At 39.0% G+C, this 15496-nt stretch overlaps 1 long non-coding RNA gene across 1 annotated transcript in view, besides 1 other annotated feature; it reads left to right on the top strand.

Annotated features, from left to right (window-relative positions):
* LINC00970 (long intergenic non-protein coding RNA 970) overlaps positions 1-15496 on the top strand; it is a 183101-nt gene that overhangs the window by 159863 nt on the left and 7742 nt on the right. The gene's annotated exons all lie outside the window — the stretch shown is intronic.
* Positions 5138-5307: an enhancer, noted in NCBI's record as "active region_2062". NCBI's record gives its function as "activates an Ori minimal core promoter by ATAC-STARR-seq in GM12878 lymphoblastoid cells {active_cell/tissue: GM12878}" and the evidence as "EXISTENCE:reporter gene assay evidence [ECO:0000049][PMID:35858748]".

The raw sequence follows: 15496 nt of genomic DNA, 5'->3' as shown, positions 1-15496 counted from the left end.
ATGGCACACGTTTACCTACGTAACAGAGTTTCAAGTCCTGAACATGTATTCCAGAACTTAAAATAAAATAAAATAAAATGAAAAAGAAAACAAAGTTGTTTGTTCTTAGTAACAGTAATGAACTCATCATTAAGATATCCGTGGATAGAGATTTCCAAACTTTCTCAGTCTTAGTGTCCATAGTGTCTCAGTAATTTTTTTTGGTGCCTCTAGGTCAAATTAAGTAACTGAAAGTTCCATTTATTAAGTAGTTGGGCTAAAACAACTTCATACATATTTATGTCCTAATAACTTGTGGATTATATAAAGAAATATGTATAAAATGAACAAAAGTATTTTTGTTTTATTCTTAAATAACCTCAACTACTTACCAATGGGATGTGTACATGAAGAACATAGGACACACAAATTGGAAGAAAAGAGTACATTTTTGTTTTATCTTTAAATAATTTTAATTTCTTACTTGTGGAATATATATACCTGTTAGGCACTACTTATCTTTTTAAATCGGGGAATCACATTAAAAACTACCACCCTTATTTTCTATTCAACATTAATTTTCATGTCAGTATCTACTTTTTACCACAGCAGCCACCAAAACCCTGTTTTTCAAAGATATGATGTTACTGAAAGGAATGTGGCATGATCTAAAGTGGAAATTGTAAACTATCTTGAGCTAGTAGTACATGCAGTATATTTCACTGTGTTTTCCTTTGACATTTACGAGATATTGGGCCACTTCTGTGACTTTGCTGCAGAGCCCTGGGCATCTTAGTATATGGTTTGAGAACTGTGGCTGTTGAGTGAGATCATTCTAATTACCATACTGACCCAAGCAATCTATTTTGGTAATAATATACACCTTATATCTGGTGGTGAAGTTCCACCCTGAGTCTTTCAATCCGTGTTGAAATCACTGAGCTCATTTCAACCTCAGCATCTCTCACCTACAGAGAACAACTTGGACACTTTATAAAGACGCTGGGTTTCCCTTCACCAATATATTTTTTAAGGCTTTAGTAATGGGAGTATTTTGAGGACTGGTCATAGTTGGGTATGAGGGTCAGTGGATGATAAAATTCACTTCAACAGTCTTTCAAAGTCTCTCTGGATAACTTTCTTAATAACATTCCAAGAAATTTATGAAATATCAACTTTATTTCCTGTGGCCAATGTTGAATGTAGAATTGAGTCAGTTAGGAAAGAAACCAAACCAAATGCCCATCAATGATAGACTGGATTAAGAAAATGTGGCAGATATACACCATGGAATACTATGCAGCCATAAAAAAAGAATGAGTTCATGTCCTTTGTAGGGACATGGATGAAGCTGGAAGCCATCATTCTCAGTAAACTAACACAAGTACAGAAAACCAAACACTGCATGTTCTCACTCATAAGTGGGAGTTGAACAATGATAACACATGGACACAGGGAGGGGAACGTCACACACTGGGGCCTGTTGGGGGGTGGAGGGCAAGGGTAGGGACCGCATTAGGACAAACACCTAATGTATGCAGGGCTGAAAACCTAGATGATGGGTTGATGGGTGCAGTAAACCACCATGGCACATGTATATCCATGTAACAAACCTGCACATTCTGCACATGTATTCCAGAACTTAAAGTAAAAAAAATAAATAAATAAATAATAAAAAAGAAAAGAAAAAATAAGATCCAGCAGCTTGAACTAGTGTATTAACTTTAAAAATCTGTTTACTGCACCTATATTAATAAATTCAGTTAATTAAATTGCAATGCCTTTCTTAGTCAAACACTCTCAGAATCCAGAAATTAGCACATATATAAACCATGTCTTTCCTAATATAACTTACACAATTTTTGCAATTATTGTAACATAGATTTTATCTTCTCAGATTTGGGGCACACTGGGAATCTGATTCTAGTTAGGATTCTGGAGAAAGTGAAGGGTGGGGTAATGAGCCATGAAGAGAAATAGCTTCCAATTATAAATTAACTTCTACAGACTAGAGAGTTGCAGGGTCCTCGGGAAAGGCAGGGGTAATTATTTGAGACAAGGGAGAAGCTACTTCCATTGAGAGAGGAAACTAAATGGAAGCTGTAGGTTCTTGATTTTCCAAGTCCTCCAAAACCCCCCATTAGTGCTCCATTCCAATTTTGGGCATTTCATGTGTTCTCTGTCAGTGTCCACATTTTCAGAAAAAGGCCTGGGAAATCTGTGAACTCAATGGATGTAATTCAACAATGTGCATGGTAGAACTTAGTGCTTATTATTCATTTATTTTAGCTAAGTAGCTATAAGAGATTAGAGGCAATTTTACAAAATTATATTAGTCCCTATAATTGTTTATAATTTTAACTAATAATTTAGGGTTATAATATTGTCATTTGACTTCATCCTTCAATTCTTTAGACACTTTTTACTGTTCTATGGCAATGGATACTTGTTTCCCCTCCTTCCAACTGGTTTGTGATCGTCTCAGGTAATCACAAGTAATAATTTTCAGAATCTCTATTTTAAACATTTTCAGCCACATAAAAACTAGAGAAAATAGCATAAATAAAATATGTACATACACCACTTATGTTTAATGTTTACAAATATATTGTCAAATTTATTTATAGACAAAATGGCTTTTCATTGCAAATATGGAAATATGCATATTTAAAGCAATAATATTTTCTTCCATGAACACAATACCATGACTATACCTAACATATTGAACACAAATTCCCTAATATCATCAAATCACAGGTCACAATTTCATTAGTCATGCTATCAATCTGTGCCAAGAGCATCAGTATTCCCATCCCTTAATGCTAGCTATATTTTCACTGCCTTTGTCAGCAAATAAGCTACATAACAAATTCCATGTATTGTTTTGTCCATTCCTCTTTCATTATCCTATAGCTCTGTAAATTGCAATAACTTCTACTAGTATTTTTGTGGGAGTCAAGATTCTATTAGTGAATAAAACAGAAATTAATCTGGTTAACTTAAGTGGAATATAAATTTATAGGAATAATATCCCATACCTCCATTTGAAGGATAATAGACTAGGCATAGATGGAAGCCAAAGGAAATGAAGCATAGTCAAAGATATGCCATAGGAGTTACCCTCTTAGATCACTGCTGGTTGGCATTGTCACCATGCGTCCTTTGTGATCTCACTACTGGGGTCTCAACTTTGTAACTCTGACCCTGAACCTCCGGGTCATTCCTTCAAATTTCAGAGGCATGAGCTCACACTCTAGCTGACAGGAAGTAAAGGGTGATAATGTCTGTTCTTGTAAATAAGATTTTATCTCTCACTCATATTGGGATTCCCCCAATTATGAAAAAATATATAGATGTTTGTTTCAGGTCAGATTCTCCAAATAGCAGGCTTTGAGATAAAGATTTGCTCAACTGGATTTTAATGCACATAGACCAAACATTGTGGGAGGAAATGTTCAAATTTGAAGTGTCTTTCAGCACACCTAGATGTCTAGACTTACATAGAAATATCTGGGATGTTTCTTATCTGGTTTCGTTTGTTTGTTTGTTTGTTGTTTTGGATGTTTCTTATCTGTAACCATAATGACAAATGGACTATGACTTGTACCAGGAAAAAAGCCAGAATGCCTCTACATTTTTTCCTAGAAACTAAAAATAAGTACAAAATGTGGGAAATATATTATCTAGCATGAAAACTTTTAACTAGGTGAACAAAGTTAGGCAACAGAGTGAGCAGCTGTTTGACTTCACTTTTAGTTACCATGGCGGCTTTTAGTTAGGACACAATCCTGAACCATTTAAACTGGGTGATCAATTGAGGTCATTGCATTCTAATTAAGCATTCCCCTTTGAAACAGATGCAGATACTTTATGAATACGTTTTCCTACATATCCTTAATATGCAAAGTTGATGTGCTTTCTCAATTTTGCAATTCAGTTATTTAAATCATATGCTTTTTTTGTTGATCAATAGCCCTTATTTGTTCATTGAAAATGCCATTATCCAAATGTTAACAATGTGAGTTTTACCTAATATTTTTGAAGTTTGAAATATATAACTCTAAAAAGTACAATGATTGACAAAAGATGACTTAGCATGTTATGTGTATGTGTAGCTCTGTGTGTGTATACTTGAAATTCAGTGCTTTAAAGTAGTTGCTATTTTTGAGATATATAAACAATAAAGAATCATCAACTTATTGATCGCCATCAAGATTGTTACAATATCCTTGCAGTTGTACCTTAAATTCTGTGTCATCCAGTCTCTGTTATGCAAGTTGGTCTTTATGGAATCACTGACAGGTCACTCTTAGTTCAGCAGATTCTGTTTTCCCTATGCATTGTACTTTAGCAAATCATATTTTACTCATTATATTAGTATAAATTTGAAATTAAGTAATCATAAAAATAATCCAGTTAGGCCATTTTTTTTGTTGGATTCTTTTGGTGCCTTCTCTCTCAGATAAATAATGATCTACTGAGAACATTATTCAAATTCAAATGAGACTTTTTGTGGCTGTTTTTTCTTTATATCGTTAACATGTCTGTGTTATCTGCCAATCATATGTAAGCTGCTTGATGGCAGGAGCCCGGATTTTAATACCTGCATAGCCCATGCAAGATCTAAGTCAAGTTCACATTTGGTCAGGTCTGTGGTGGCATGTGGCGATCAACCCTGCAGTGTGCAAACATCATTAACAAGAGACTTTTCTGGCCCTCCTGGCTCGAGGAAATGGAAAGGAAGAATGAGCTAGTCAGGAGACAAAACTAGAGGCAGTAGGAACAGTGGCCCTGAACTACATTGAGTCAGTGGTGGATTTAGGAAACCTATTGAGGAGAGGTGGAAAGGACAGACACTGGAAGCCAAAGTGGGCTCAATTGAGAAGGGACATGCTGGGCCTGGACAGAGCCAGAGAGCACATGAGAACCACTCTCGACTAGACAGAAGATGATGACAGGCATGAGGACCAGGACCAAAGTTCATTAAAGTTGTCGTGGTGGAAGGCTGGGATCATAAAGAAGAGGGACCAAATCTGGAGTGATGGAGCGGGGAGTGAAAGAGAAGTGGGAGTGAATGTGACGAGGGACCAGAAGAAAGATATCTAGGTTCTGTTCCAGCTGCACTTATTCCTGATCATCCCATGGGTCTGGCCTACTTCTGACAGATGCACATAATCAAATATGGTTTATGTAGCTGTCTCTGGACTTTGCTTGCCCTTACTTGCTCTCTTTCTTTCTCTCTAGCTCTCTCACTTTCGCTTTTGCTCTCTCTCGTGTCATGAGACCACAAAATACAATTAATAGGTAATTCAAGTCATTACTATCATAGATATTAAAGCCAAGAAAATGACACTTCTAAGTTCAGCAAACTACATGAAAAACAGTAGCATGAATAAAGGATACCCGGCATGGTCCAGAATGATAACAAAGAAAAATGGAGAAGTGGTGAGGGCAATTTGGAGATGGCCAGTGAAATGACAGTTGAACTTATTACAAGCCAGATAGCAGTCTGGAGTCTCTCTTCAAGCTAGTTCTAATTTTGAAACAGTGATGGAAGGCAGATATTATTATTCTGCTTTTAAAATAAGGAAACTGAGGCTCAGAAAGGTGAAGTAACTTGCCCAAGGTCACATAGCTCAGTGACAAAACCAGTATTCATATCTGGATCCCTCTGACTCAAATCTGGGCCTCTTTCTGCTTCTTTCTGAGGAAATTCTCATTTTGGGAAGATCCAGTGGCTTCTGGATCCCTCAGAGCCATGTCTTTCTTGGTGACCTTTTTCCTGATATTGATGAAAGGAACAGTTATCAGTGGAGTCTTAAAGATTTACTCAGTGGAGTCTTACAGATTTACTCATGGGCATTCTGTGGTACCCCCCAGAGCCTTTGTTTCTTGACACATTCCCATCTCCCACTTACCTAGATATTACAAATGGAATAGTACAAATGAATAAAACAGTTTTTGATAAAAAAATAATGTGACTCAAACCATTTATGTAACTGGTCTTGAATGCATGGTCTGCTGCTTCCTCACTGGAGCTAGATTTAATTCTTAATTCTGCCGCAGAAGGAGAACTTGAGTACATCACTATTCTCTGTGCCTCTGGCCACTTGCTTTCTGCAGGAAGGACATTTATAGAAACTAGAAGGACGAGGAAACTGCATCTAAACTCCCTGTGTTGGCGGGATCAGCAGTTGTAAGCTGCTAGGAAATTGCCAAGTACTGTTGAAATTTCCGTGCCTGATCCAAGATGTTGTTTACGCACAAGGCCCAAATCTTTCCGGTCTCAGGAAATACCAATGATCTTTGGCTGAAGTCAATATAACAAACAACCTTAAGAAGTTATTCAGAAACTAATTCTGAAAGCCTCCCATGGTCATACAAGGCAAGCCAAATACTGACATTGTATGTGGAAAATAAGGCTGCAATTAAACATTCACGATGGATCCAAATTTTATATGGTCTACTTCTGTCTGGGAGTGTGTGCTTCCCTAGGAAAGGAGCTCAGTCAGAAGTTGACTTGTGATTCTGTGACTTCCTGCTGGCCTTTGAAGGCTTGGTATCATTAGTCATCATGGGGTGATTTGTTTACCTTTTAGTCATAACTGATTAGTACACATTCATTCATTCATTGAACAAATATTAGCTGAGACTCTACTATGTGCCAGATTCTGGGTAGGAACTGAGGACACAATGCTAAGCAGAAACAAGCACACTTCTTATATTCAAGGAGCTTATAGTCTAATAAAGGAGAAAGATAAATAAAATCACAGAAATACGTAACTTCTAACTGTGAGTAAATTGGAGAAAATGATAGCCACGTTTTGAGAATGCGTAGCATGGATTGAATCTAGTCTGCAGTGTTGGGGTAGATGTCCTTGGGAAATGATGTTTGAACTGAGATTTGGAAAACATGGACCACTTCATGAACCCTGGGGACTGACGATGAATTAAGACTAGGATTTGACAAATCCCTGGAAGTGTGCAGACACTAACATCTGAGCAGTCAGCAGAAAGCTTGTTGGTTTTAGCTCTTAAGATGGCGGCATATTTCGGCAAAGGAAGGAGGAGCCCATGCTTGTGCAGACACAGCCTCATCCAAGTGTGATCCATATCCTCTCTCCAGATCATCCTTGATATTTGGTTTGGTTTGCGTTAGCCGTAACCCATTTCTCCTATATGTTTTACAACATCAGAATCAATTGATCAGCTCCCTCTTGAAAGTCTTGTGGTCCATTACTAACTACTGAGCTGATTCTACCATTTTCTTTCTTCTTTTCCTGCTTTCCTACCCTCTATCCACCATTCTGACCCCATTCATTACTGCATTTCTTCCAATTTTCTCTCTCTTTGATTGTTATACACACATTATAACTTATACACATTATAAACATTATAACTTATACACAAGTTATATATACATTATAAGTTATACACAAGTTCCAAGACTTTTAGGCTGTAACTGTGACCACTGAAAATTGAGACAAATGCAATTCCTGAGTCAGGTGTTCCTAGGTACAGTGAGCAATGCACACAGGCATCTTTTTATGTAATCTTCCCCCCACCATATAGCGAAATCTAGTGGAGTTGAATCACTTTTATGATGAAATTTGCCCAAATCTATCCTCCTGTGGATTATCTTTACCTGGGAAATATGTGCGCTAAGAGCTTTTAATAAAAGAACTGTAGTTCTCTTCCTTTATTGTGTTTCACCGAGGCTGCAAGAGGTGTGACACATAAGCTGAAAGTAAATTGAATAGGAAACTGAGGTTTTGTTTCCCTAGCAACGTTAATTCAGTCTTCTTACAAATGGAAATAACACTGGAGGCCTTTGTTTCTGCATTCCCAGCTCTACAGGGCAATGTGACATGCTGAGCACTCTGGAAACAGTGCTGTATAATAGAATTCTGCAGCATTTACTTTAGAATTTTCTCTCGCTAAATTTCATACAACCTTGTGGGCATTCTGCTGGAGCTGATATTCATCCTGTTTGCTGAAAAAAATGAGGACAGAGGAATATTCAGTGTTGTGACTTAGTACATCAGGGCATTCATTGTCAGCAGGGCAGGGCACATTATGCAAGGGCAGAAGGAGGAGTTTGGTGATTCAAGAACAATCATGGCTAGAAGGATCTCCCTATTGTTCAAGGTCAAAGTGGACAATGGTCCAGTAGCTCAGATATTCAGAGCTGGAGCACTGGTGTGTAGGAAGAATAAACATACCACATACATGGCCACTTGTTCTTACCTTTCATATGTGTCTTGAATATTTTATACACAGTCAAGCAAGTTTTAATAAAAACCCTAAAGATATAGTAATCCACATTTATCCATTTGAATAATTTGCCTTCAAAAGGCGTTGGTGAGATTTGGTCCATTTTCAGCATCTAGGAGATTTCATGGGCATATTTCTGGGAGTCTGGGAGGCTTTATAATACAGTGGTAGATGTCCAGGGTTCTAGTGACAGACTGCCAAGATTTAAATATTGGCTCCACCAATTTCTAGCTGTGAGCTCTGGGGAAGCCCCTAACTTTTCTGTACCTCCATTTTCTCATCCATAAAATGGTCACAATAGTACTGTAGGGTTGAAGAGATGGTTAAACTGAGACATCTATTTAAAGCATTAACAATGCCTAGAGCCTTGTAGTAAGTGCTTAGTATGTGGTAGACGTGGAACTGCCACACACTCCCACCTATTTGCGGCAGGAAGGGAGCACTTGCCAGATCTTTTTGAGCCCTTTGGGGAAAATTTCACTAGAACAGACAAATGTACAATTTTTCCCTCGCTAATTTAATGATAATTTGTCCCTATTTTGTAGCTGCTTCTTTAGCCATGTGATGGGGCAGGGGCTTGGGTTCATGGAGGAGAAGCAAGGGCAGGAAGAGGTGGAGGAGGAAGAAGAAAAGCAGGAGCTGAGAAATCCAGTGGCTTCAGAGCTGCAAACCGGTTGACACCCACATACCTCCTTCCTCTTTTTCAGCAAGGTTTGCCCATTCCCAGTAACTGGAGACCCTGTGAAGGACTATGAGTTGCTTTTATCCCAGATCCCTAAGAGCCAGCTCTGAAACCTAACTCCTCAATGTGAAGTTACTCACCAGTTATTATGTAGCTCTGCATCCTGCAATAAGAAAATGTGATTAGTACAGCAGCCCTGCTCATCCTATGAATCCAGAGATCTGCGCGGGTGTGATGTGAAGGCAGACTCTTTTTCACTCTTAAGGTTAAGCTCAGAAAAAAATAAAAAAAGGACTAACTCCCTGTTTTTCATCTTAAACATTTACCTTGCAATTTCAGAAAATTAGAGGGCATAGTATTCACTTAAGACAGTGTTAAGACTTCAGATCAAAATCAACTGAAAGAGCAAATGCCATATTTTCTCTTCCTGTTTGTAACTACATGTCACTTTATTGAAGCCCTAATTGTGGGGCATTCCTCCTCCTTCTCCTCCCCATTCAAATTCTCATGTTCCTGAGAGATATTAGAGCACAAGAGACATTCTGGCCAAATGCATTCTTGGGGAGAAATTCTGTCCTATATACAGACACTAGGAAGGGCACCCTTAGTTACTTGTGATCTGGCCTGCAGACATCTCCCTGCATTTCCCCTCCACATGTCTTTCCCACTTCACTCTTCAGGGGCACTAATCCTCACAGGATTGCCTCTTATCTCCAGCCCTGGGCTTATGCTGGTGCTTCCACCTGGAGTACTTATCCTCTTCCTGTACTCTCACCTCAACTTGTACTTTTGCAAACTCATGCTCCTTTAGACCACAATATGATCTTCCTGGAGACACCTTCCTGACCACCCCCAATACCCTTAAGGCATTCTTTCCTCCGGAATCGCTTAGACATTGTTCACATCTCACATTTAGCACTTGTCACATGAAACCCCATTGTATAAAAGTGATGCATGTTTGTGTGTGTGATTGGTTTCCCCTATACATAATGATAACCTTAAGGATGGGGGCCAGGTCTTGTTCATCTTTACTTCCACAGTGTCTGGAATAGTTTTTACACAGAGATAGTTAATAAAAGCCCCTTTTATGTATGAAAGAATGAGCAGTGTCCAGCCTCCTCTGCCACCTTCCTGCCAGGTACTGGACACCCTGGGAGGACACCTCCCCCAAAGGTCTCCTCATCTCTCCTTTGACCTTCCAGCCTTCCCTACTTTCTCACTTTTGGCTCTGCCCTGGTCCTCATAAGGGCTTCCTGAGACTCAAATTAGATTTCCAAATCCAAAAGAGAGCAGCAGACAGTGCAGGAAGCCCATAGGCCAAGCTAACCATCATCGGCCCTATCATCAACAAAGGTAACTGACTAAAAGATTTGAAGGTACAAGAATTTTCTTTTTTTAAATCCTACCTTCAGTGGAGTGTGGTAGGAGCTGAGGAGAGGAGAGACTCTATGGTGCCAGCTCAGTCCAGTATCAGGTATTATTTTACCTCCTTTAAATCTTTTCTGTGCTGGTTTCGTATTTTGTGGGAAGGTTCTGTCAATATTTTTTCATGTGTCCTCTTCCACTGCATGTCATTAGTATCCTACAGTCTTGATCAAGCTTGACTTCTTCACATAAAAGGTCAGTTATGTGAAATTCAAATGCCAATATGAATATTTATGGTCAGTAGTAGCTCGTGATTAAGTCCCAGGCTATTAGGTAGGAAGATAATGGTATTATTTGATTGGTGCCTAACTGAAACTAATTAATTAATTCCCTTGCTCTCTGCTTTTCTCTGGTACCTGTGACATCTTTGTGGAATGAGTGTTTTCTACAGGAAACGTGGTTTCTTGATTTCTGGGTTTGTAGAAATCAGTGAAATTCAAGGAACTTGTCAATCAACATGTACTTTTTATTATCTGTTGTGACTTTTATGGACACTTTAGATGTCACGGGAGAAGGAAGAGAAGGTCATGTAGCTTTTCCCCTTCTTTTTCTCACTTTTCTCTAAGTAGATAGTGTTATAGGACTGGGTCTGAAAGCTACACTCCTCAATGGGCTTGATATGGACTATAAATATTGGAGGCCGTGTGAAGAGCAAAAGGGTTACATGGATTAAGTGCTAATGTGAGGTGATCTCTCAGTGTCTATTGGCCAAGATGAGGATGATGGCAACAGCTAACACTTACTGACACTTATTATTCTCAGGGTTTCCCAGGTATAGTCTCATCGAATCTAAATTATAAACTATTAGGTCTAGATGATTATTATACCCATTTTACAGCTGAAGAAGATGTTGCCTAAGTCACTTATCCAATTTTATGCAGCTTGTGCATGTCAGAGACAGAACTCAAACCTGAGTCTGTAAGATCCTGAGAGCCAGACTCTTCCCAAAGATACTATCCTGAGTTATGGTTCATGTTGATTCCTTCTCCATTCTCAGGGTTCCTGAGTTCCTGAGGGATAATTGTGAGCAGTCAGGAGCAGATGAGGTTCTGGAAGACCCACATTTACACGAAAGATAAAATAAGGGATAATCATTTCCACAAAAAGGTTTACCATAGTGTCACTTTAAGGAAGAAACTCCCCAGTAACAACAGACAAAATATCAGTTGTTGTATAGAGATTCATACTACACATCTTTTCTTCAAGCACATAAAACAAAGCAGGACTAGATTTTAGCATTGGGCTGAGACACAGTTTTTTGGTGTTTGGACCCTGAAGTCATGTTGAAATGATTGCTGGGTATATTAGATGTTTTGATTTTCTGAGATAATTCCGTTAAATCATTCTGGAATTCTTACAGATTTTCCTTGTATACTGTATATATAAGGGGAGCTTGGACTTTCCAGAACATTTGTCTGGGTCTTATTATATTTATATATATATATACATATATATATATACACACACACACACACACACACACACACAGAGTAATGTATGTGTTATTTCTCTTTTTAAAACCAATAAATGCCTTGTGATCTTTTCAATAGTGGGACATCAAAGTTTACCTAGTCAAGTTTATTTTTTCTGCATGTCATATTGTGATTTAGTGGCCTAGATTTCATCCCTTTCATCCCTGTAAGTGAGCAACCTACATTATTCAGATTCAGGTTCAAAAGATGATTGTGGAGCCCTACTACGTGCTGGGCACATCTCCTTATGTTTTCTTATGTCATCCTCACAACAACATCATCTTATGGCTGGGATTCACAGATGGGAACTCCGAGGCTCAGAGGGTTGTTGCTACTAGCACAAAGTGAGATCAGCAGCTGGGATTTTGACTCAAGTTTCAAACCTTACAGGAAGAATGGTGCTTTTATGATATCAAAGCTCTGTTCTCTATTTTCTAATGGATTATGTCCCTCCTCCCTAATAAGTCAGTGAATGGTTTATGGTATCTTTAAAACACAAGTACGTGAATAAAAATCAGATTTTACTTTTTATGCTATTAATGTCTTCAGCATTTATACCCAACATGAATGACATTGGGCTTCTCATGCCCATTAGTTGAGTTTGGCAATTATGAGCCAATTGCTTAGTTTCCAGCAGAGACGGAATTTGGAGGTGGAAGGCTCAGCTCCTCAATGCCTTCTATCCCTGTAATTATCCCTCTGAGTAATTGCTTTGTGCCCTTTGGAGGTGGAAAACAATAACCAAATTGCTGCAAGCTATTTGTGAAAATGATGGTGGGATTTTTTAAAGGTTCATTTTTAACTTTTATGTTTTGAAAAGAGCACATGTAATAAGATCATCTAAAACTGGGGTCCATGTTAAACTGAAATTAAAATCTATCAAACCGGATCATAGTTTTTTCAGAATCATGTCAAAAATCTTCCTGTCTCTCTTCTTTTGAGAGCCCCCAGGATTTACAGTGCTGTTGGCAACTGCCCCAGCAGTGGGTGCTGAGGGAGGGGCTGGGATCAGGAGTGTCAGGGCAGGCTCCTTCCAGGGTTGCCTCCTGGGCCACCAGCATTCCAGGCAAGGCCTCCTTTCAACACCAGGGGCAATTTGATATGATGTTTGAAAAACAATATAATAAAATGAGCAAATGAACAGCACTTCTCTTTTATAAGACTTGCAAGGTGACTTTGCCTTTTTGCCCATAAACTCGATTTGCCCATAAACTTGAATGCAGTTTTGATGAGTTTGTTTGATTAATTAATGAGGCATATTAATGAAGCCAGATTCGTGCATTTGATTCCTATATGGACCACTTAGCTTTTTCCCTCCCCCCATGTTGACTGATTGCACTTTTAAATCTTGCCAATCTAGGGTCTTGATCACAGGCTGGCCAGTTGCCAGGCTCCTGGAAGGTACTTGCTGTTCCCTCTCTCTCACTGGTAAAGTAACACAGTGGGGCTGGGGCTCCCTCTGAATATGAAGAGTGCGTATCTTCAGAAGCAGTTTCAATGGTACTCTAAATCCCTGTGAAGTAGACTGAAATTGTCATCCTAGCTGAAAGGTAGGAAGTGTGTGATGTTCTATGCCTATACCCCCATCAGTAATTGCACACATAACCTTGAGATTGCATGGATTGCACAGACTGCCTTTATTTTTTATGGAACCCTGCTGCTTGTCGGAGGGAGTCTTGGGGTAGGGAGGCATCGGACTTTAAGAGCACAGACACTGTTTGGCAATGAAGTGTCTTGGTTTGAATTTTGGCCCCACCTCTTCGTTAGCTATGAAAACTTGAGCATCTCTTAACTCATTTAAGACCTCATATTCTTCATCTAGAAGACGGGCACAGGCCAGGCGTGGTGGCTCACACCTGTAATCCCAGCACTTTGGGAGGCCGAGGTGGGTGGATCACCTGAGGTCAGGAGTTTGAGACCAGCCTGGCCAACATTTTGAAACTTCGTCTCTACTAAAATACAAAAATTAGCCGGGCATGGTGGCGGGTGCCTGTAATACCAGCTACTCGGGAGGCTGAGGCACAAGAATCGCTTGAACCCAGGAGGCAGAAGTTGCGGTGAACCGAGATCACACTACTGCACTCCAGCCTGGGAGACAGAGTGAGACTCTGTCTAAAAAAAAGAAGATGGGCATAATAAATATTCAGCCTCATGAGGCTGTTTTAAGGATAAAACAAGATAATCCATGTAAAAGCACTTAGTATAGTGCCTTTAAATAATAAATCCTCAAAAAATGTTAGCAGTGATTAATATGCTAATTTCCATCTTGTGGAAGGAAAATAAGGATGTAGTAGATGAAATAATTTATAAAATCATCTTTTGGTGCTAGGTCTGGATTGATAAAATATTAAAATACATTCCATATAAAGGTTAACTTTCTGCAGTTGAGAGGCAGTTGAGATAATTGGTTAAATATCATATTTAATGTATGAGGAACAAACAGAAAAGAAAAGTCAGATGTGTTAAATTTTCATTTTTATTTTAAATTTTTTGGCAAGAACCTTCACACCAACCGGTCTTCAGAGTTTTCTTTGGCAACAGAGCAAATCCAAAGAGTCTTTGGTTTGTAAAGCTCCATTGACCAATGAGAGGCTCATGGTGAGTTACTTATTCTGAACCAAAGATTTCCCATTGTACAAAAGGGATAAGAAATCTTAGTTCACTGGGTTCTCATGAGGCTTGAGTAGGATAATTCATATAAAAGGACTTCCTGATCCACAAAATGCTTCAGAAAGTAAAGTATATTATGATTATTCATATCTTAGATGGTTGAAGAGTTAAGGGACAAAGAAGCTCCTTAATTCCTTGAAAACAGTGCAAGGAGATAATGCTGAAGGCCAGTATAGACCCAGCTCTCCTCTTTTAGGTCTGTGTTATTGATCAACCACTGGACAGATGGCATTGTATTAAGTGGGCTTGCTCTGAATCTTACTGATGGCACTTTTTCTATTTTGCTCTTTGCCCTCGCTGGCCACATAAGACAGAACTACTCAACTTTTGTCATCCCTTTGGACATCTTGGTCTTTTTTTAGGAAAAAAGCCTTTCTCCTTAAGGAACTGAAATGCATTTATTGATATGGAAATTATGTGTCTTGTTGGAAAAAAGTCTATTCTCAGAGAATGTCTCACAAAGAAAACACTGAATCAGATGGTACTATTCCTGCAGATTCATTCATGAAAAACAGCTGCCCCTCTAATAGGCAGTGAGGATGAGGGTCCTCAGGGTATTCATTCGTGGTTGTAGGGAAGCTAATGTCACTTAACTTAAGCTGGAAGGTATTTTATGTACACAGTTAACATGTTTCTTGGTTGTTTTTTGTTTTTTTTTTTGAGATGGAGTCTCGCTCTGCCGCCCAGGCTAGAGTGCAGTGGCACAATCTTGGCTCACTGCAACCTCTACCTCCCAGGTTCAAGCAATTCTCTTGCCTCAGCATCCCAGGTAACTAGGATTACAGGCATACACCACCACGCCTGGATAATTTTTATATTTTTAATAGAGATGGAGTTTCACCATGTTGGCCAAGCTAGTCTCAAACTCTTGACCAAGTGATCCACCTGCCTTGGCCTCCCAACCTTTCTTGTTTTGAAAATGAGAAAACTGAGGCCTGGAGCATGTTAAATCTCCCACCAGAAAAAAATATCCAGTTTTATGTCTTGCCATATT

This window comes from Homo sapiens, chromosome 1, assembly GCF_000001405.40.
Source record: "Homo sapiens chromosome 1, GRCh38.p14 Primary Assembly".
Lineage (NCBI taxonomy): Eukaryota > Metazoa > Chordata > Mammalia > Primates > Hominidae > Homo > Homo sapiens.
The sequence above is the reverse complement of the archived record's forward strand: the minus strand, read 5'-3'. Positions and strand labels throughout refer to the sequence as shown.